Here is a 24,177-nt window from a genome sequence, read left to right on the forward strand (position 1 = left end):
GGGACCGCACTGACTGCCTTAAACCAATTGGAATTCACTTTTTGGGGCTGCGGTTGAGACTGGGACTAACATCTCCTAAAATATTGCCCATTGGGAGGCAGCTGAATGAGTTTTGGGAGAGATGGGGCAATAAATAGAACCTACAAAATATATGAACTAGATTTTATGTTTTATTCAAGCATTAGAAATCGGAATATAAATATCGGCATCATTTGTAAATGCCTGAAGTTCTTGTTTTTTCTTTTTTGAGACAGAGTCTTGCTCTTGGCCCAGGCTGGAGTGCAGTGGCACGATCTCGGCTCACTGCAAGCTCCACCTCCTGGGTTCACGCCATTCTCCTGCCTCAGCCTCCCAAGTATCTGGGACTATGGGCGCCCGCCACCACGCCTGGCTAATTTTTTGTATTTTTAGTAGAGACGGGGTTTCACCGTGTTAGCCAGGATGGTCTCGATCTCCTGACCTCGTGATCCACCAGCCTCGGCCTCCCAAAGTGCTGGGATTACAGGCGTGAGCCACCGCGCCCAGCCCTGAAGTTCTTTATAATGCATTTTTGACAAGCAATTGGTTTGAAATATAATTAAGATGATTTGGTAATCAAGAAATATGAAGCAGGTTCAATCAACTTTGAAATGCTTTTAAACATAATAAACATTTCCAAGATACTACAAAGTTATTCAAATATAATAAAGTGTTTCTTAGGAAAGTGTTCACTTTTTTTTTGCATTTATGTTTCTTTTTAGTCCTAGCAAGTAAACTCTATACAGAAGGATTTATTTTGTCTTTGCAACTTTAATGTTTCCTATTCAATTTCCCTAGAAAATAATAGGTACAATTCAGAATGTATTTTAAAACTAAACATTATCATTTTCCTCTTCTAATTTTAATTTGTTTATGAATTTTTCCACCCAAGTATATTAGTGATTATAGGCCATGTTCAAAGCAATGACAATTCTTACTTATTAACTTGGTAATGCCTGGAGAAATGTGAAATTGTTCTGTAATGCAATTTGGGGAAGTGAAAGAGATTAGCTTTTAATGGCATCATGTCATTTGTTACATTATAGTTAATATCAGACAGGTAGGCTAAGTAATGATATAAAAAAAAACCATCCCCAAATATCAGTGGCATAAAACAAGAAAGGTTTGTTTTTGGCTCAAGCCGCATACCCATAGAAATTCAATGGCGTATAATGGGCTCTGTTCCTATTAGTGACTCAGGAACTCAGGCTGATGAAGTCACTATCTCAAATGTGCCATAGAGAAAGGGAAACTGGGGGAATCTTCAGGCCAGCAATTAAATGCTTGACCAAGAAACTCCACACATATATCTGCTCACACTTCATCAATCTGTACCAGTTACATAGCACTCCTACCCACAAGAGCCAGAAGTGTGATCCAACCTGGTTCCTGGGAGATGGAGAGCCACCAATATTGGTGAGCAGAATTTTTGACTATTGCAGAGATGTACCAGTGTACGTCACTACTTTTCAACAGAAGGGTAGACATGGCCCAATAGTTAGTTTTCAGTTGTGATAAACAAAATGAAAATTATTCAGTTAGGGTACTTCTCTAGAAGCTGGCATTATTAGAAATACACCTTCATGAAGGACAACAGCTTCTAGTCTCATGGTTTTGAACTGTGATGTTACCTTACCCTCATGTTAAGGGTCATGTTTTAGTAAAATCGAGACTCTTCTAAATAGATGATGTCCTTGCCTATGGGACAGGGAGAGGGTGATAGCAAACAAGTAATCCTTGGAGTATATTTCCAATTACTCCATCTAATTTCTTCCTCATTTTCTATTCATGAATCTGCTGTCCACATTGCTTTGACATCATTGATTTTTATTTTTTTCCCCATTTTGTTTTCATTTGCAAACATCGGTCCATGTCCATTTATCTGGCATACACGATGAATACTCTAAAAAGAACTCAAAACTTTTACTTCTGTTGTTGATAAATGATTACAGTGAACAACCACATTTTATCTGCTTCGTTTGATATGGATTCTGAATATTCCAGCTATTTCTCTCCCCTGAGCAATCCACCATAGGGTCCTTAATAAATCAGGTTTCAATAGCAAGATTGGCAGTAGAGGAAATGTGTCATGTAATACAAAATAAAGTGTGAACTGCAGCCACTAATCTCCATTGTTTTTGTTAATAATAATAATAATAACAATAAACAACACCCAAGTAGTAAATGCACTTCTCATTCTAGGCTCTCCAGTGGTAATTGTGATATATACAGATATTTTATATATATAATTTTTTTTACTCCACTCAATCCTCAGAAGAAATAGAGTGAGTTAACTGGTGTTATCCCCATCTTTCATGAGAGGAAACTGAGTCTTGGAGAGACTTGTCCAAATTTAAACAGCTACTAAGTGTCTCCAACTGCTATCAAACTTTGAAGATTAATGCTTGATTTTATTAACTGCCTAGTTTTTAAAATTTATTCCTTTAAGACGTTATCTGTACCTACAATTATTTTAACAGTAACTCGTTGCTTTCTACTTTATGTAATACTGTTTTAAGTATACCTTTATAATCTTTTCATCATACTCTAAGTGCCTCCAAAACCTCTGCATGATTATAGCCCTAACTCCTGGGACTTAGCAGGTAGTCAGTGAGTGTTTGTGAATGAATGAATGATGTATATGAGGTTCACAAGTTTCGCTGAAAGCTGCCAAACCTCCTCATGTGGTCAAGTTCAGACCAGGGAAATCTCTACTATATAAGCCATCAATGTGTCCATACAAGCAGAATTAACTATCTACCTTTCTCACCTATGTAGAAGAGAAAAAGTTTTAAAATGACTTTTCATACACAACTATAAAAAATTGCATGCCAGTTGAAGAAAATCTTGAAATACAGAAGATATATAAATAAAAGTCACTCCAAATTCCAAGAGTAGATACTGTTTTCCCAATCATTGTTTTTAAAGCCATTTATATACACACACAATTTTCTTAGCTGTAATAATGTACAGTTTTGTAGTCTGGCCTTTCAGTATTTTTTTTTAATTATTATCCTTAAGTTTTAGGGTACATGTGCACAATGTGCAGGTTAGTTACGTATGTATACATGTGCCATGCTGGTGTGCTGCACCCATTAACTCGTCATTTAGCATTAGGTATATCTCCTAATGCTATCCCTCCCCCCTCCCCCCACCCCACAACAGTCCCCAGAGAGTGATGTTCCCCTTCCTGTGTCCATGTGTTCTGATTGTTCAATTCCCACCTATGAGTGAGAATATGCGGTGTTTGGTTTTTTGTTCTTGAGATAGTTTACTGAGAATGATGATTTCCAATTTCATCCATGTCCCTACAAAGGACATGAACTCATCATTTGTTATGGCTGCATAGTATTCCATGGTGTATATGTGCCACATTTTCTTAATCCAGTCTATCACTGTTGGACATTTGGGTTGGTTCCCAGTCTTTGCTATTGTGAATAGTACCGCAGTAAACATATGTGTGCATGTGTCTTTATAGCAGCATGATTTATATTCCTTTGGGTATATACCCAGTAATGGGATGGCTGGGTCAAATGGTATTTCTAGTTCTAGATCCCTGAGGAATCGCCACACTGACTTCCACAATGGTTGAACTAGTTTACAGTCCCACCAACAGTGTAAAAGTGTTCCTATTTCTCCACATCCTCTCCAGCATCTGTTGTTTCCTGACTTTTTAATGATTGCCATTCTAACCAGTGTGAGATGGTATCTCATTGTGGTTTTGATTTGCATTTCTCTGATGGCCGGTGATGGTGAGCATTTTTTCATGTGTTTTTTGGCTGCATAAATGTCTTCTTTTGAGAAGTGTCTGTTCATGTCCTTCGCCCACTTGTTGATGGGGTTGTTTGTTTTTTTCTTGTAAATTTGTTTGAGTTCTTTGTAGATTCTGGATATTAGCCCTTTGTCAGATGAGTAGATTGCAAAAATTTTCTCCCATTTTGTAGGTTGCCTGTTCACTCTGATGGTATTTTCTTTTGCTGTGCAGAAGCTCTTTAGTTTAATTAGATCTCATTTGTCAATTTTGGCTTTTGTTGCCATTGCTTTTGGTGTTTTAGACATGAAGTCCTTGCTCATGCCTATGTCCTGATTGTAATGCCTAGGTTTTCTTCTAGGGTTTTTATGGTTTTAGGTCTAACATTTAAGTCTTTAATCCATCTCGAATTAATTTTTATATAAGGGGTAAGGAAGGGATCCAGTTTCAGCTTTCTACATATGGCTAGCCAGTTTTCCCAGCACCATTTATTAAATAGGGAATCCTTTCCCCATTGCTTGTTTTTGTCAGATTTGTCAAAGATCAGATAGTTGTAGATATGCGGTGTTATTTCTGAGGGCTCTGTTCTGTTCCATTGATCTATATCTCTGTTTTGGTACCAGTACCATGCTGTTTTGGTTACTGTAGCCATGTAGTATAGTTTGAAGTCAGGTAGCGTGATGCCTCCAGCTTTGTTCTTTTGGCTTAGGATTGACTTGGAAATGCGGGCTCTTTTTTGGTTCCATATGAACTTTAAAGTAGTTTTTTCCAATTCTGTGAAGAAAGTCATTGGTAGCTTGATGGGGATGGCATAGAATCTATAAATTACCTTGGGCAGTATGGCCATTTTCACGATATTGTTTCTTCCTACCCATGAGCATGGAATGTTCTTCCATTTGTTTGTATCCTCTTTTATTTCATTGAGCAGTGGTTTGCAGTTCTCCTTGAAGAGGTCCTTCACATCCCTTGTAAGTTGGATTCCAATCAATAAATGTAATCCAGCATATAAACAGAACCAAAGACAAAAACCACATGATTATCTGAATAGATGCAGAAAAGGCCTTTGACAAAATTCAACAACCTTCGTGCTAAAAACTCTCAATAAATTAGGTATTGATGGGATGTATCTCAAAATAAGAAGAGCTATCTATGACAAACCCACAGCCAATATCATACTGAATGGGCAAAAACTGGAAGGATTCCCTTTGAAAACTGGCACAAGACAGGGATGCCCTCTCTCACCACTCCTATTCAACATAGTGTTGGAAGTTCTCGTCAGGGCAACCAGGCAGGAGAAGGAAATAAAGCGTATTCAATTAGGAAAAGAGGAAGTCCAATTGTCCCTGTTTGCAGATGACATGATTGTATATCTAGAAAACCCCCTTGTCTCAGCCCAAAATCTCCGTAAGCTGATAAGCAACTTCAGCAAAGTCTCAGGATACAAAATCAATGTGCAAAAATTACAAGCATTCTTATACACCGATAACAGAGAAACAGAGAGCCAAATCATAAGTGAACTCCCATTCACAATTGCTTCAAAGAGAATAAAATACCAGGTCTTTCACTTTTTATTATGTCCCTTAATATCATTTTAAAAAGATGCTTGTCAGTGACCTCATACTTTCCTTTATATTGAGGGGCCATGATTTATTATTGGACAGTTAGGGTCTGTCATTTTTTGATATTATAAATAATGTTGTGATGAGCATCTTTCTATATAAATCTTTGTGAGCATGACTTTCAGTGTGCCATCTGTTCCTTGGAGTCCCTTGATTGGTGACACACACCTCTCTTAACTGATATTTGACATTTGGAACTGAAACTGTGCAGCTAGAACTTGTCAAGAAGACAAATAGGGTAGCAGTGGCCTGTCTTATGTTCATAAAATGGACTGGATACAACTATAATTTTGCAGGCTATTTGTTTGGTTAGAAGCTCAATGCCTCATTGATTCCACACATGATGTCCAAAAGAATGAAGGTGACTTTGGAGAGAGCCAGCCATTTAGAATCCAATTAATCAAGCTTCGGGGTAGTTTTGTACCCAACCAGAAACATCATGATCTGTCAGATTCCTGTTACTCAGAATTGGATTTTAGGAAGGAATGTGGTTTAGGGATAGCTTATAGGTGGTCTTTTGGAAATAACAGAGGAGCTCAATCTTTAAAACTATAAAGTGTAGGTTGTAGGAGTTGAAGGCTTTGGTAGAAAGAGAAAAAACGGTAACATATTCTAAAATTTAGTGAGCTTTATTGAAGACTGCTCAAAAGAGGAAATCTTTGATTAAGCTTGACTAGCAGATAAAGAGAGGACTGGAATTTTAAAATCATAGTCTTAGAATTGTTTTTGTGTCTTTGCTTCCAGGACATCAGAAATACATAACATGCCTATTCATAAAGTTCTTAAGCTGGGGTCTCACTTATTTTGTCAATATATTGCAGAACCATCAACAATTCAAATCCATATTTAAAAAAGAGCTGAATTGATTTCCAGTTACTTAAGCTGCAAACACGAAGACTTAGTATTCATCTCTAATAGCCAAAGAGATAAAGATTTTACCTTTGATCTGGAATTTATTTAATCTTCTAGTACAGAATTGGAGATGGGAGGTCCAAATACCAGATATTTAATATGTTTCAGTTTTGTTCTTCACTTCATGTTGATAATTTTGTCACTAGCTCTTAACACTTATTGTACTAAATTGCTATCTTAATATTAACATCAGAGTGTAAAAATTCAGCTGGCAAATGGTATGCAAATCAGCCTAATGCAAACTTTAATGGATTAGTGCACTCAAAAAATTCTTTGAAACAAAGGTAGCTGAAGTGGTAAAAAGACCAACTAATCAAGAGCCCCATTACAGAATTTTCTGGGGTTTAAGTACCCTCTAGAGGTTTCCATTGGTTACTTGGTGTATGCCCTATGGAAATAAAAAGGATGAAGTAAAGTTACAAAGTCATTTACTCCGTGTACACACTAGGTAAATGGAGAGGCTATTTCCTGTCTTAGCTGAAGTGTTTCCATTTGGTTTAGTTTTAGGAAGTCAGCGTAAATCATGAATTGGCCTTATGTTCCTTACCTCCAGACCCTACTCTTCTGCCTCATTTAGGGTGGGCCTAGTTTAACAAGATTAGCATCTTTATAAGACAATGGAAATTTGGGCAGATATTGACAGAAGGAAGACAAAGACAGCCACGTGGTGATGAAGGCAGAAACTGCAGTGATGCATCCATAAGCCAAGGAATGCCAAAAATTGCTGGCAAACACCAGAAGCTGGAAGAGACAATGAAGGATTATCTTCTACAGGTTTCAGAGGAAACATGGCCCTGCCAACATCTTGGTTTCAGATTTCTAGCCACCAGAATTGTGAGACAAAATGTTTCTGTTTGTATGACTTTGTTATGTATGGCAACTCTAGCTTTCACTAGGGTCTGCCAGATTCCATTCTTCTTAGCTCTGGCACAGATCAGACAGATTTCTGGTCACTTTCTGTTTTTTGAAAGTTGGTCCAGTTTAAGTCTCCAATCTCATATCTGATTTTCATTTCATCTCCTTCTTCCCTCCAGTGCCAGTGCTGGCCTTTCCTCTTCTCTGTGCTCCACAGGAGCCACCAAGTTTTCATTACTTCCCTGTGCCATGGGATGCAGATGGAGAAAAGGGCTGTATCCATCTTCTCCCTAGTCAGACTGCAACTATGAGAGAGGGGCAAGCCACTCTTGTAAGCATCCTGCCTTCAGCACTTGCTAGGCAGGAAGTGGTCTTAGCTCACGTAAGGGAGAACCACCCCAGTGTGGATTAGCACCTTCCAGGTGCTAAGTGGCAGCTGTAAGATTCTACAGCCTCTAGCAAGCTAGGGCAGCACCATATATCCATACTGTAGGTAACCCCACTATAACTGCCCAATCAGTTCATTTTGTCCACTGCCCAGAGACAGCTGATTTATCAAGACAGGGGATTGCAATAGAGAAGAAGCTTAATTCACACAGAGCCAGCTGAATGAAAGACCTGAGTTTTATTATTACTCAAATCAGTCTCTCTAAAACTTCAAAGGCCAGGATTTTTCAAAGATAGTTTGGGGGAAGAGGGAGGATGGCTAGGCAATGGGTACTTGCTGCTGATTTGTTGGGAGTACAATTACAGGAGTGTGGGAAATGGTCCCCTTGTTCACTGAGTCACTTTTGGATGGGGCCACAGGAGCAGTTGGTGGTTCCAGGTGGAACCATTGGTCATCAGATGCAAAAAACCAGAAAAGACATCTCAAAAGACCAATCTTAGGTTCTACAATAGTGATGTTATTTGCAGGAGTAATTGGCGGAAGTTGTACATCTTGTGCATCTGGAATAATGTGTGGCTAATCATGTATGTCCACACCTTAGCAGAATCCAGGTTCCTCTCATCCTCCTAGTGTGGTGGTCTCTCATTAGCTTTACAAAGGCCACTGAGTTTGGGGGAGGGGCTATTATCATTTACACTATAAATTAAATGTCTCCCAAAGTTAGCTTGGCCCAAGCCCAGGAATAATTAAGAGTAGTTTGAAGGCTAAAGGCAAGATGGGGGTTGGTTAGATCAGATCTCTCTCACAGACATAATTTTCTCACTGTTACAATTTTAGCAAACGTGGTTTCATCACACCCTACAATTAATTGTCTTGGGACTTTGGTTGCCTGGCTTCAGTGGACATTTTCAGCATCCTCCTCCTCCTCCTCACCAAAGGGAGAGAATGGACTTAGGAGAAGAACGGGACTTCCACTATGAATGCCGCATTCCTGTGGCTGCAGATTCCCATGACTCCTTTCCCTACTCATCTAGTCCCATTTTATAGCCTGGAAAGTTGTAGAGCTGGCATGAGAGTTGGGTCAAACAGAGCCAATTCAATCCTAGGGAAAGTTTATTGATTTAATTGTTAGTGACTCTCCTTAGGATGTGGGAGTATTTAATACTTCTTTGCTCTCAGCTGATGTCTCGGGTGTGCTGAAGGCTTATGATGCTTACAGGAGTGGCCTGTACCACTTAGAGTGAGAAGAGAGTGGGGTGGTATGACTGGGAAATAGATGGGTTACTGACTCCTGGGAAAAGAAAAGGTCATGGTCAACCTCTGTTACACCAGGAAAATGTTTTTTTGTTTATAGGTGTTTTCATTCCCCATTCTTCTCCTTTAATATTATAATATATGTTAGATTTTGCGGACATCCTATGATCAATGAGATGGAGGAGGAGCTGCATGTATAAGGTCTGGGGATGGGGTTGGCAGGTAGCTGTGGCTCATAGACTCCTTCCAAGAGGTGGGGATCCCAGTGAGTTTTGCTGGAAGGGAATCTGCTTCCACTCACCTGCTTGGAGGTTGGCTATGGTTTTGAGATCAATTACTTAATCAGAGTTAGCTGTGTGATGACTCCATCTCTAAATTCGGTATGCTCAAAATGTGATGTCCTGATGCTCATAAGCAGTACCACCTGGAATGCTGTTAGAAACACACATTCTCAGGCCCCACCCCAGAACTACTGAGTTAGAAACTGGGGTGGTTCCAGGCATCTATCTGAACACACACACCCTCTAGGTGATTCTAATGCACCCTAATATTTGAGAACTGCTGCTCCAAAGATGCCTCTCTTCTCCAATTAAAATTGACACCCTAGCCTCGCTAATAAACTGGTTTCTGCTTTGTATGGCCTAATGAAAAGATATGACTTACCTTAAAAAATTATTCCTTCAAAATTCTCTGACAATTTTCTATCCATCACACACTTCAGCCTAAAACTTTAAGGTGCACTTTAGTTGAGGCAAAGGGAATCTCTTTTCTACTTTCTGAGAGAATAGAACTCCAGAAGTTTATTCTTAACAACTTTAAACAAGATAATTTCCACTGGAGCTCAATCATCCTTACAGCGATGTTTATTGTTATGGAATATTTCCTTGCATAAGATGATAATTAAGGATGGGACTCACCCTTCCGTGTTGTATTTTCTCCAAAACAATTATCACCATCAAACATGCTACATATTTTACCTGTTTATTTCATTTTTTGTGTGTCTACCCCTGAATGAATGTATGCTTCATGAAGGCAAAGGCTTTTGTCTGTTTTATTATCTGCCGAGTTCTCAGGACTTTGGTCAGTACTTGACATCCTGTATACACACTCAGAAATTATTTGTTGAATGAAGATATGAAAGCTGGGCTTCAAGAATGTGTTTCAGAGGTTCTGGAGATTTCTGTTTATTAACTCATTGAAGAAAATTATGGGTTTTATTCTTATTTCTAATTGCGAGAATGCTTAATGTCACAGGCTACATAAGGGCCTCAGAAGTCACATTATTTTTGTACAATGTGAACAGGAGAATTTACGAGACTGCTGTGGAAGTTGGTACCTAGGGGTATGCTACAGGGCGTCATGAGCTGGAACTGAATAAGACATGCCCAAACAGGAGAGTCAGGGGAGAATAATGATCTCAAACTAACAGAAAATAATTTTTGTCAGTAACTTTGAGCATGCCAGTCTGCTGTTTGTGCAAGAATTCTCATTTGTAGGAGTTGGTTCTTCGGGATGGTAAATCTGTTCATTGTGCTGGGCCTAGCAGTAATTGTGCTAGGCCAAACACTTTCCAGGATGCAGTATTTCCATCTTCCTGTTTGCACATCTTATAGTTCCCACTTCACAGATGTTCAATGTTTTCTCACTTGTTGATGATCCCATTTTGACACAGTAGAGTTGGTTTCCACCCTTGAAGCACTGTGGGGGCAATAGGCAGACACATTTGGAAGTGGAGGCTGTAATGAGAGAGAGAGAGACAGTGTGACTTACCACAGTACATTAGGGTTTGGCTTTATCTAAATCATCCCCAGGGTGGCGAGCTCCTTGATGGTGTTAAATTAAGTTTGGTCTAAAGCTTTCTCTAATGAATGAGAAAGCCAAAAAATAAAAATTAAAAACAAAACAAAACAAAAACAACAAAACAACCCACCAAAGGCAATGACCCCAAAGACCCAACTGTGACTGAATAGAGAGATCTGTATATAAGAGACTAGAGGGCACTAGTAAGCCAGTAAGCTTAAAGAGTTGGCCTATTTCTGGCACTTCCCCCGTCTCACTGTCCACATCCAATGAGGATTTGCACTATCTCTGGCACCTCCCTTTTACTCACTGCCTACATTCAATCAGGCACTAGTCCTATCAATCCATTTCTCCAATGTCTTCAGCCTGTCCTTTCTGTTTTATTTTATTTTTATTTTTAACATTGGCATTGCCTAACTACATTCATCGTTATCATTTGTAGAGCATGTACTGTGAAGCCACACAATATGCCAAGCACTTTACATGCTTTATTTTTTTGAACCCTTACAGCAAACATATGAATAGGCTATCATACTAATTCTACAGAAGAGGAAACTGAGCTCAAAGAATGTAAGCCCTTTGCGCATTGCCACACAATTAGTAAATGGTAGAAGCAGGATTTAAATAATACATGACTCACAGGCCTGAGCTCTTTAACATAACTCCATATCACATTTGTTTCTTTCTTTCTAGAATATTATTGGGTTATGCCTGGGGATCTGTATTTTTAGTAGGCAGTTAAATTGAGTGATTCTCCTATGAGGCCTGCTTTTGGAATCACCAAAGCACTTCATAATTCATTTAAGTCTTATGTTCATGAAATAGGTTTAAAACAATCATTTAGAGATAAAGTTACCAAAGTTGAGTATATCAAATTAATTTTGAACAAAGGTTTATAGGCTCATATATTCTACATGTATGTTTTAGTCAAAGGTCAAAGTCTTCCACTGTTTGGCCTCAACTTCCATTTTCAACATTATCTTTTTTACTTTCTCCATTTCAAGTAGTTTAACTGTCTGTTTCCCCAACAAGACCCCAAAAGTGCTCCAGTTTTTGTTCTTTCTCCTATGTCATCTGCCTCTTTTGCCAGACTGATGTGCTCTTTCCTACTTCTCCCCATACGTCCAGTTTCTACAAGTCTTGCCTCCTCAATGAAGCATTTCATAGCAACATAACCATATTCTGATCTTTTGATCGTTTCTTTTCTTTTTTTTTGAGACAGGGTCTTACTGTGTCTCCCAGGCTGGGGTGCAATGGCACAATCATGGCTCACTGCACCCTCGAACTCCTAGGTTCAAGAGATCCTCCCACCTTAGCCACCCAAGTAGCTGGGACTACAGGTGCACCCAACCATGCTCACCTAATCTATTACTCTTTGTAGAGATAGGGTCTCATTATGTTGCCCAGGCTAGTCTCAAACTCCTGAGCTCAACTGATCCTCCTGCCTTGGTGTCCCAAAGTGCTGGGATTACAGGCGTGGACCACAATGTCTGACCAGATTTTCTCTTTTTTCTTTTTCTTAACTTTTATTTTAGTTTCAGGGATACATGTGTTAAGTTTGTTATATAGGTAAATTGAATCCATAAGGGTTTGGTGTACAGATTATTTCATCACCCAGGTAATAAGCATAGTGCATGATGGGTAGTTTTTTAATCCTCTCCCTACTCCCACTATCCACCCTCAAGTCGGCCCTGGTGTCTGTTATTTCTTTGTGTCCGTATGTTCTCATTGTTTAGCTCCTGCTTACAAGTAAGAACACGTGGTATTTGGTTTTCTGTTCTTGTATTAGTTTGCTTAGGATAATGGCTTCCAGCTCCATCCATGTTGCTGCAAAAGACATGATCTCATTGTTTTTTATGGCTGCATAGCATTCCATGGTATATTTGTACCACATTTTCTTTATGCAGTTTATTGTTGATGGGTATTTAGGTTGAGTCTATGCCTTTGCTAATGTAAATGGTGCTACAATAAAATACCTGTGTATGTATCTCTATGATAGAATGATTTATACCCCTTTGGGTATATACCCAGTAATGGGAATGCTGGGTCAAATGGTAATTATGTTTTAAGTCCTTCAAGGAATTCTGTTTTAAGTTCTTTGAGGAATCGCCACACTGCTTTCCACAATGGTTGAACTAAAGCAGATCTTTTATTTAGCTAAATTTTAGTGGTGTAAACTTGTCATTTTACAAAAACTGACATTTTTGTATACATTCTTATTAGTTAGATTTTCATATGTCTTTTCCCCAAGACAATGATAAGTGCTTTTTTGGAGAGCAGTGTGGCTCATCTGTCCTATCAACTCTTAACAAGGCGCTCAATTAATTCTTCTGGATCAACCGACTTGAAATTCTGAATTGTGCATGCAGGTATAAGTGTACAAAAAAGAAATTTATTTAATGGATCTGGAATAATTCATGTTGCCAAAATACCTGAGTCAGCGTGAGTATTAGCAATGAGGTCATGAATGAATAGCTTATTTTAGGCAGACATCGATTCTTTCCCATGTGTCTCAACTGATGGGGAAAAATAGGGAAAGGAAGTAGGAGATACTCATATGCACCACATGCCTGGGCATCTTGCCCTTGGTAGGAAACATTTTATGGAAAAGCATGCATTTCCGTACTATGCTCTCCATCAACCAGCTAGAGAAGATTCTTGTTCATTGTTGGAAAGAATGTTCTTGTCCATTGATGGAAGGGATGGAGTTTGGTGAAAGACAGGGGACTATTCCACCTCTGGTTAGGACATCAGTTCCTTAGGTTTTTGGAAGGGCCATGGTCACTACCCTTTTAGTATGGATATAGCTTAAATGTTCTTTGCTTAATTATTTTCAGAACTACCAGCACCAAAAGACCCTTCCCACCACCTCTACTAATTCATCCTTCAACACTCAGTTCTCACGCTTCTATACTTAAGAAACCCTTCCAGACCAGAAGATATTTCTCTCTCTTAATGCTCTTATCACATCCTGACTTGCACTAAAGTGATTCATGTAATTATTGTCTAATGTTACTCCTCCAAAAATTTGACGGGTAAAAAGGGTGCCTCATCTTAAAACCATCATCATGGCTGCTAAATGGATGTTGGCTGAAAAAATTTCCCGTTCCTGTCGGTTGGTGGTAGATATTTCTGAAATTCAGATAAAATACTTAATATCTATAAAATAGGCTTCTGGGGGATTTCATTCATGTTGTAACTTTTGAAAGGTGACCTTCATATTACTTTGAAGTTCTATTTTAAAGTTTTTTAAAATTCCATTTTAGATAGAGAAGGAAAAGAGTAGCTAAGAGCACAATGTAATCAAGAACACAGTTTAATCAAAGTGACATTCAATTGAACTGAAAATTACTAATATTCCAACTTCCCATGAGTGGCCTGGGTATAAAGTACATTTTTAGCTTTCTCTGTCTTCATAAATGCTATCATTTGTATATTGATACTTTTCTATAGTGCTAATCCAAACAGAACCCTCTGTGACATTTACTTTTGCTCACCAATTAAAGAAAGCTAGCAGAGAAAGATCATATCTTTAGAGGAAAAAAATGCTTTGAGTTTCCTGATTGTGTGCAGAACCAAAAAATATTTTAAATTGCCTAAATATATCTTCTATTAAGAAGTGTTCATGTATTAGTTTGACTACCCAAAGCATTCTGTTAATTTCACAGTTTTTAGTACTTTTTTTTTTAAAACAAAGTTAAACACCTCAAGTATGTGAGGATTTAGATATGTGTACAGCAAAGCGGTAATAGTAAAGACAGGTATTTCGATAAAATTGTAAACTGTTATTTTTCACTCAGGCAGATTTGAAAAAAAATTTGTGGGAAGATAGCAAAAAAAGGGAAGATAGCAAAAAAAAAAATTATTTCCAATAGAAGAGTTCTCTGAAGACTGCTTCTCTATGATAAATAAGGAAGAATGGAAGGTAACACTAAATACAGCCCCAAATGCCTGACCTATCTATTACAGTACAGTCAGGGAACAGTTCTTAACTTCCCTGCTGACCAAATTTTATTTTCTCTATGTATTTTTGACAATAATGTTCTTATACTACATTTCTCAGATAAAAAGTTGATATTTAAAATAAAAATGATGTTGTATAATACTTTCAGCTCTTTTCTATCACAGATTATTGTTTGCAAGAGACGTCAGTTGAGTAATGGTGTTGATCAAGCATCAAAAAAATGAATAGTAGAGTTTTTGTCTAAAAAGTTATTTAATAGTGATTAGAATTAAGCAACGTGCATATCAGGCCCTAGTTTTCTGTAACTTATATGGAATTGCTTTGTTTAGACATGGCATGAAGGTTGAAAACCCCAGATACTGGCATCCTGAGTTGTCACCATCAGATGCCAGCTATGTCCACCCTCTGTCATGTTTCAATCTTGTGGCCTGTCAAGGGAGCTGAAGCTTGATAATCAACCTTAAGTGGATCGGAAAAGAACTGGTTTTGAGTAATAAGACCTCTCCCCTTTCCAGGACTGAGCTGAAGAACACTGGGCCACAAAGTCAAAAAAGAGTCAAGAGGAACAATATGGTTTTTGTCTTTCTTTTTGCAAAAGTAAGGTGGTTTCAGCAAAGATTCCTTTGCATACTTTATGCTCCAATTTAAGATAATTTTTTTGGAAAATGTTCCACAAAGGAAATATCTCTAACTGTTTGGGTTCTGTTGTAATCTCCAATCCGTCTTTTGAAAAAGAAATAAAGCTTAGTTGGGCTATTTCAGGGTCAAACTTCATCTTGGAGCAAATGTACTGCTGTGAAGTCCCTGCCTCGAAATAATTCACAACTGTAATGTCTATGGCCAGTAAACTTAGGGAAAATGGAAATAGAATGCTACTCCTTAAGTATTAAATTGGCAGAGATACAAAGGAGTGATAACTCCAAGGTTTGGTGAGAGTGTGGGAAAGCAGTCTTTACTATATGTTCTAGGAAATATAATATGGCAAAAACATTTCTGGATAGGCAGCCAACATATTGTATCAATAAAAAAAATTTAAAAATAATATTTACCTAGAAATGTCCCTTTCTAAGCTATATCTGAAGGATGTAATCTTAGCTCACAGATTTATTTGTGATAGATTTAGGTATGATGGCACTATTTATGATAGCAAAATACAGGAGAAAAAATTTAAATGCCTAACCAGAGATTGGTTAAATAAATCATAGAATACCCGTATAGACTTTTGCAGACATTGAGAATTATGTGGCCGAATAATATATGTTGACATGGAAACAGTTCCATGACATAGTAAGTGAAAAAACAGCAATATATAGAATAACATGTAGAGTATGCTCCGATTTTATATTTTAAAAATTTGTAGTATATACGGGGCCACTCCTGAAATGTTCAAGACCCAGGGGCCAATTTTTTTATGGGGTGCTTATCTATAAACTATTAGAGTCACCCCAAATTAGAGTGTCAGCATCATACTGGCTTTCTAATTTCAAGCAATCTTGAGCAAGAATGCCCTGCTGGCTAGCAGCAGCAATTTGTTCACCAAGCTGTTTTCTGAGAATGAGGGTCTAGTCTGGGCCAGAGATGACTCCACAGGCATGAGCCCCAGAGCTCTTTGGGGCATCTGGCTGACCCCACGCATGGTGGGGAGGAGAAGCAGTAGAGAGCTGGAAAGTATAACAGTGCCTGGGTTCATGTGGGATGCTGTCTGGGCTCAGGGTGTCCTGCCTGAATAGTATTGTCAGCCTTGGCTAGACTAAGGCACTGAAAGAAGACTGAAAGAAATTTCAGGAAGATGCTTTGGCAATGCAAAATCCAGTCCTACCTGGACAGCACTATTGGCCTCAGACAGTCCCAAACACTAGAAGGAAACTTAGACAATTCTGGTGAAGGCCCTCCAAAGCTGGGACTCGGAAGGATGCCTGAAACACGAGATCGGGACAAGTGCTCTTCCCACTGGGGCCTAAGGGTGGTACTGATTACATATGCATAGAGAAAAGATTGGCAAGATATACACCCACATTACTACAGTAGTTATTTCTACTTGTGGGTGATTATAATTTTCCTTTCTGTTTAAATCATTTTATGAATTTTTTTTACAATGAAAAGGAATTATTTTTGATTAAGGATAGGTTATTTTTAAGAAAGATGATGTACTAGCTGAGATGAAGGTTAAGTGAGAGCATTTAGTATGGTCACCATTGGAACTTACCTGAACATTTTTCCCAGTCATAGCAGGTGTCATAGCCACAGGATTCTTTCTTTGTGCTGTTGGATGAAAGTCTTGTCCTTTCAAGACCCCATTCTAACTGGCGGCCGTCTTGGCAGGAACCAATATGTAGAAAATGGAGTTGCTGATTATTTAAACATTTCTCAGCCAAAAACTTACAAGCGGGTGAAGTAAAGTAATCGTTGGAGTCTGTGTCAAACACACAGAGATCTTCTGAATGATGGCTGCCCAAGAGAGGAAAGCAAGCATTTCTATATGAAGATCAGAAAAAAACAGGGGGCACGTAGCCAATGTAGTGTGTTCACTCACCAACCAGTTTTCTTTTGCCTGTTTTCCCCACCCCACTCCAAGCCCTGGGCTTGAGTGAGAGGAACAGGAAAGTGTTGATATAACTGAGTTTAAAGTTTTTACATGTGCAGAAGTTAAGTCTTTAAAACCAAAATGAGACTGTTATAATGAACAATCTCATTTTAAACAGGGAACTGGGCTGAGAGATAATTAAGAAACTTGCTACCCAATGGGGAAGGAGGAATTCAGCAGAGCACAGGAATATCAGTTATGTGGAAAATTCATTTATTTCATGTCTGTGCTTCAAAAAGCTCAGCTCTTCCATCAAATTGGTTACACTAGACTGGTTTTCCCAATTTCCAGACACAGTCTGTAGGGTATCTCTTACCTACAGTCTTCTTCTGGAGACATACAAATGCATTCAGATCCTGATTGTTTCTGTCCCAGCTGACAATGGCCTTTTAATTTTGTTAGAGTATCTGAAACAAAAGAAAAAAGGAGAAAAGAACAGTGCACAGCATGGATTCTAAGTGATAAGCTTGAATTCAGAGAAGAGGCAGTGGTAAAGGATTCATATTTATCTCTTGGAGTTAGATCATTCATTTTGGCTTCTCTAAATACATTGTCATTAAATATTCCACCTGAAAGGTCCTTTCCAGTGCACATGAGGTGTCATTTTCCAACCTAAAATTGCGATTATGTTCAGATAACTAAAGAAAATGGAACTGTTGAAATTTTTGTTCATTTGTTTTTCAAATATTTATTGAGTATACATGATATTCTCATCACTCTGTAAGGTTCTGGAGAGAGTAGATTGAGCATAAACTGACCCAGATCCTGTGCTCACCAAGCTTATAGTCTTGTGGGTGCAGACAGACATTAATCAAATGAGCACACTAATATAAATATAGAATTGTTGCCTTTCTTAGGGCTATCAAAGAGAAGCATATAATAAAAAATTGATGTAGCTAGAAAGATTAGAAAAAGTAAAATGAAGAAAGGTGAGGCTGTTCAATACAGAGGAAACATAAGGTATGGAAAAGTTCAAATGGGAGGCAGTGGTCGGGCATAGTGGCTCACGCTTGTAATCCCAGCATTTTGGGAGGCTGAGGCAGGCAGATCACAAGGTCAGGAGTTCGAGAACAGCCTGGTCAATATGGCGAAACCCCATCTGTACTAAAAATACCAAAATTAGCAGGGCATGGTGGCATGCACCTGTAGTCCCAGCTACTCAGGAGGCTGAGGCAAAAGAGTCACTTGAACCCGGGAGGCAGAGGTTGCAGTGAGCCGAGATTGTGCCACTGCACCCAGCCTGGGCAACAGAGTAAGACTCTGTCTAAAAAAAAAAAAAAAAGGCAGGCAGCATGTGAGTTTCCTGGAACTGAAAGAACCCAGTGTGGTTGAAGTGCTGAAAAACAAGAGGATGGAACAAGATGTGGCCAGAGAGGTAGGTGTCTGGTAGGCTGTGTGGGAGGCTAATAGGGTCTTTGAAGGGTTTTGTCTTCATTTTATAAATAGTAGACAGTCTCTGATAGGTTTTAAGCAGGGAGTGGTGTAACAAAATCAGCCCTCGATTTTGAAAAAAAGAAATTAATTATGGCTTCTGTGCAGAGAATGGATTTGAAGAGGCATGGTGGTCAATAGGGCTCCAGGGAGCTAATCTATGAGGTTATTGTGGTAGTTCAGGTGAAAGAGGATGATAATTTGGACCAAGGTTCCAGAGGTGGAAATGGAGAAAAGTGGATAAACTTGAGACACAGCTAGCAGGTAAAACAAGTGATATTACCTATTATGTAAGTTATGAGAGCTGTCAATTATATGATTCTTCGGTTTCTGATTTGCATAAAAGAATATACATTAGTGCCTTACCTGAAATAGAAAATATTAGAAAATGCTTAGTTTTAGGAAGGAAGGGTGATGAATTAAGAGTTCCCTACTGTAGATGTTGAATTTATGGTATCTTTAAGACATCCAAACAACGTAGATATATAGGAATTTAGATATTCATGTCTAAATCTCAGTGGCGAAGTCTGTGCTAAAGATTTAAATCTGTTATTTGTCTATGGGGGAATCACTGAAGCTATGCATGTGGATGAGATTCTTCAGTAGGAGAGTGCAGTGTGAGGCGAGGGGACAGATCCAAAACTTGGGAAACTCCAGTGATTAATGTCCAAGCACTGGCAGGAGCCTACCAAAAATAGAGGGCAACAGCCAGAAATGTCGGAGCTAAACAAGAATATGAAGCCAAGGAAAGAACATATGTGCAGAAGGTCAACATTGCTGAAGGCTGCCGAAAGGCCACAGAAGATAAGGAAAAAAAAAAAAAGTCCATTAGATTTAGCAATATGGATGTGAATGGCTTGAAATTCAGATTTTCTTACAAGAATCAGTGGAGAAATGCAGCTCCTAAATGTAGCTATTAATCCCTGCATGGCATTCTAGGCACTAGGACATTATGGTGGGAAAAAAAAAAGAAAGGAAGGATGGAAGGAAGAAGGTGGAGGAGAGGAGAGGAAAGGAGAGGAAAAAAGAAAGAGAAAACAGATGTTAATCAAGTAATTATAATAACGGATTTATAATAAAGGGCTGAGACAAGTATTCTGAAGAAAGGGAACATGGTTTCAGGAGACCACATACCATAAAGACTCCAACTGGGAAGATTAGGGAAGGATTCATAAGGAAATTACACTTGAACCAAGATGAGGAACTGAATAGCATGTCGGTGAGGGAGGGGGATGAAAATAGAGGGAGTGACACTGGGGGTGTATTTATGAAAGAGGGAACCTTGGTTTCTTTGCTCATGTTGAGGCCCACCTAGAGAACCTGGACCTGAAGCCGAACTCCTCAGTCTATTGAATGAAACACATTTTCTTGATCTGGATCTGACTATTCAGGCATCCCAAGAACCAAAATGACCTCGTGAGCAAGTTAATTGTCAAGGCAGGACTGGAGGCTCAGCTCACTCTTCCTCCTCTTAGCTTATCAAGTAGAAGGTTTGATAAGGAAAGGTGGCTCACGTAAGAAGCAAAAATAAAGATGTAAAAAATTCCTAGGTTTCTTATTCACAGTTGTTTTCCTTTCCTTCTATTACCACCATTTTATCTGGTGAAACTTGGCCCGGAACTCTCCTGAACTTGGAGACCTATCCTTCCGGTAAGGCTTTAGCTACTATGGTTTACAATGTGGTGATATTGTTTACCTGTGCCTCTTTGCCCTTTGTAATTAGGCCTGGGAGGAGCAGCAAGGTATACATTGTTTCCAAAAAGAATCAATTCAGCTTTCAAGTGGCACACAGCCTTGCTCTATCACTACAGGTTTGAAATTGTCAATGATCTTATGCAAGGAATCTGCTCTTCCAATCAGCCTCAGGTTGAAGCAGTGCTGGGACTCAGCTGCCCACACCTCCCAGCACAGGAGCAACAAATACTCCACAGTCTGTAAAGTGCTCAGGGCAAGAGGATCCTCTGAAGGGCTAAGGGAGGTGTCCAGGTCTGGGAGGAAGGAAAAAAGTAACGGTGTAGCATCTCACATCTTCATGAAGCAGAACTTTTTCACATTGAAAGAATTAATAATGTTTCCCTGCCTGAAAGTGTCTTTACCTCACAGTGTCGGGTTTTATTTATGATTGTCTTTCTCTTTCTGTGACTCCCCTTATTGGTCTTTCTGTCAATATTATTGGAGAGAAAGTATATGAAATAGGCTATGTATTTCCTTTATCTAGCTGTGGAACATTTCCTATTTCTCAGTTTGGATTATAATTTTAATTTCTAATCTAAGGGCACGTGTGTGCACATGCATGCATATGCCCTTATGAGGATACTGCCTACAGTGTCTTAAAGATCCTAACTTTCTGAAGTCTATGGCTTCCACATACATTCATTCCACTGACACTTACATTCCTTGTAATTTATTATTATGATCAGGAGTCTAGTGAAACCAAGACACAATACTTAAACCTGAAGTTCTCACTAATTTCCATGAGATCGCTTTACTGATAATTTTATTTAAGGTTATTCAAAAGGTTAACTTTCTCCCTTTCTTTCACACGTTATAAAAGCCCAGAAGAGAATAAAGGACGCAGGATGGCAATGAGCTTAGGGAATTAGCAGAGCTATTGCATAGTTCCGGTTTGACCCACACTGTCTAAACTTGCATCTTTTTTAGCCTCTCAGTGCTTAAGAAATATAATGGCTATAGAGGCTATACTACCAATCTCAGGGTGCACCACCTTATCAGACCCCAGAACACTGAGCTGCTACTCACCTTTTTCACAGGTGAGAGAGTTTGAAATGGGTGGTGTCCAGGAATTCCCCTGGCATGTGTACCTTGATGGCCCAGCAACAACAAAGCCTTTGGGGCAAGTTAGCTCAATGGATTCACCAATTCTATACAATCTCTGAAATGGTGTAATTGTCAGGACTTCCTGCACAACTGGCTTGATGCACTCCGTCCCTGCAAGAGAGCAACATTTCATATGTGTTTAGTGGAGCAGAATAAACAAAAAATTTAGGCAAATTTTGTGCAACCAAAGAGGTGATTTTGATGAGATTTACTGCATCTGTTCAGCTTTGGTGCCTCCTTTTGATCAGAAAACCTGGGGGATAAGAATCCTGGGCTTTCCCTCAGACCCTTCATTGAAAAATTCCCTTTAGTTTCATTATCTGAGATTCCCTTGCTAAAGAACTGGCTCCAGACACATCCAACTTTTATGAAATCATTGGGACCTTTTCCTTTCAAGAAACACTTTCTTTTCTCTTATCCCTAGTGGATTTCTCCAAATGCAAGTTACCACGCTATGACTGATGCAGAGTGATGGGCATTCTAATTGACACTGGTCTCAACTCTGCTTCATGGTCTCCCACAATAAGTCTTTGGACTCTCATTCAAGCCTTATTTGAATCTTGTTTTTCACTTTACTCTAGCACAGATATGTGCAGAGCCTAAAGCTCATTCACTCTTTCTCAGTAAAGAATGTGAACATGAACCAAGGAGTAGTGTCTTGGCGAAAACTACGTCTTACACAAAATCCCATCTTACACAAATTCCCATTTCTGTTACATAAAGAGTGTAAATATCATCTTCTTGAGACTCAGCATTTTGCGTCAATTTGAACATTGGGCAAAGCAGATGTCTGTGGTTAGATACAGCTTGCAGACTTCCTGGATTTCTTTTGAAGTGCATACTTCACAGTCCTATGTGTGTGACAGTAATAGGTAGGAGCAGGAACACTGAAATATGGAGATAATCTGGAAATCCAGTTTTAGCAAATGAGCCCTTCTATTTATTTTCTGCTTCACAAAATCTTTCACCAGAGTTACTAAAAACTAGTAAAATGTATTGATCTAAGGATGTGATTTTACTGTTTTTATATTGGGCACATTCATTCTGTAAAGTAGTCAAGCAAAATTGTTTGCCCAGTTCTCACGTTGGCATTCCACATCCCCTTGTCTCCAGGTCCCGTCTGGTAAGCATCTGAAGTACTGGTATCCAACAGTTTCAAAGCCAGTAAGGCATGAAATTTCAACATCTTCTCCAACCAAGTATAGTTGCTTTTCATTCTTAATTAAAGCAGAAACCAGAAATTATTAATGCTATGAATAACACTCTCTAAACTCTTTAGTCTCACACTGATCCTTTCTATCCTTCACTTCTGGATCTACTCAGTCACCAAGTCCTCTCAATTTCTACTTCTAAAAACCTGTTAAAGTTCTCTGCTTCCTGTTGCCATCATTGTTTTTCTTCATGATATTTATTCTTTCTTACTAGGGCAACTTTATAACTGGTCACTCTTCTAATCCATCTCCCTAAATTGGTTAGGGTTTTGTTTGTTTGTTTTTTTAACTTGAAAACTTGCTCCCCTGCTGGGAATGGTGGCTTGTGACTATAATCCCAACACTTTGAGAGGCTGAGGCACATGGATCACTTGAGTTCAGGAGTTCGAGACCAGCTGGGGCAATATGGCAAAACCCACAAAATACAAAAATACAAAAAAGTAGCCAGACAGTATTTTCTGTCTCCACAAAAATACAGAAAAGTAGCGAGAAGTGGTGGCATGGCCTGTGGTCCCAGCTACTTGGGAGGCTGAAGTGGGAGGATTGCTTGAGCCCAGAAGGTTGAGGCTGTGGTGAGCCATGATTGTTCCATTGTACTTCAGCGTGGGCAACAGAGTGAAATCCTGTCTCAAAACAAAAACCAAAAAACAAACAAACAAACAAAAACCCAAAACAAAAAAAAAATAGAAGAAACCAAAAAACTATATATGGGATGTCCTACTATTGCTAGAATAGAAAAACCATATACTCACCATGTAGTGACTATAAACTGAATAAATAATATATCTTACATATAAAGCAAACATATGCAGTTGCTATTATGACTGAGTGCAGATCATTTAAAAATGTTACTCAATTCCTAGTAACCCATTGGTCATTATATATTTTCCCAATTAATGGATTGTACAACTACCTTCATGTTGCTGGGGGGTGGGGGTGATTCACTACAATTTTCAAGGTAAAGTGGGTCTTAGACTTCTTAGTTTGGAATATTTATTTTAACTTACTTTACCACCCTCACCTCCTGCCATTTCCTCCCATAAAACCTATGCTCTAGCAAAACAAAACCCTGCCATTCTTCGAACATAAACTTCTTTTTCATGCCTCCATGTCTCCACTTGGTTGTTTCTTGTATCCTCAACACCTTCTCTCTTCCCTTCTCTCAAGACCCAGCTCAAATAGAACATCCTTTGCAAAAATCTTTGATTTCCCTAGTATCTTGAGGTACAACGTCCTTTCAGTTCTGAGGGAAACTCATGCAAAGCTCTATTTTTATAGTGTTTATCACGTTTATCAGCCCCACCCCTGATCCTTTAGTGGCAACTCCACAACCAGATCTCTGTCTCATAAATCTTTACACAGGCCTTAATTCTTTGCTGAAAGAATACAAAACATTATCCTTCTTAAGGAGCTAGTAATGCAATACAATTTTCCTTTACTGAGAGGGGCAAGAGTACCAAGAATTGACTAAGCAGTTGTTCTTCTGAGAATTGAAGTTGGGAACTTTGAGAGCGGTGAAAGCTTAATTGTCAGCTTATGTTGTTACTTGGCC

The 24,177-nt window shown here is 38.9% G+C and overlaps 1 protein-coding gene and 1 long non-coding RNA gene across 15 annotated transcripts in view; one reads left to right on the forward strand and one right to left on the reverse strand.

Moving 5' to 3' along the window:
* The window catches only part of LOC105374739 (uncharacterized), a 90,060-nt gene that overhangs the window by 61,117 nt on the left and 4,766 nt on the right, over positions 1-24,177 (forward strand). The window lies entirely within an intron of this gene.
* C6 (complement C6) overlaps positions 9,643-24,177 on the reverse strand; it is a 119,354-nt gene continuing 104,819 nt past the window's right edge. For 10 of the 13 annotated variants that reach the window (XM_047417689.1, XM_011514119.4, XM_011514114.4 and 7 more), the window contains 5 exons: positions 22,499-22,631; positions 21,337-21,525; positions 17,462-17,552; positions 16,768-17,036; positions 9,643-10,533 (listed from right to left, as the gene is read on the reverse strand). In XM_047417689.1, the coding sequence (XP_047273645.1) occupies positions 10,352-10,533; positions 16,768-17,036; positions 17,462-17,552; positions 21,337-21,525; positions 22,499-22,631 (864 nt within the window). In that variant the 3' untranslated portion in view covers positions 9,643-10,351. The remainder of the gene's footprint in view (positions 10,534-16,767; positions 17,037-17,461; positions 17,553-21,336; positions 21,526-22,498; positions 22,632-24,177) is intronic. The other 3 variants (NM_001115131.4, XM_006714496.5, NM_000065.5) reach the window with 1 other exon arrangement.

This window comes from Homo sapiens, chromosome 5 (genome assembly GCF_000001405.40).
Source record: "Homo sapiens chromosome 5, GRCh38.p14 Primary Assembly".
In the NCBI taxonomy this organism is placed as follows: domain Eukaryota; kingdom Metazoa; phylum Chordata; class Mammalia; order Primates; family Hominidae; genus Homo; species Homo sapiens.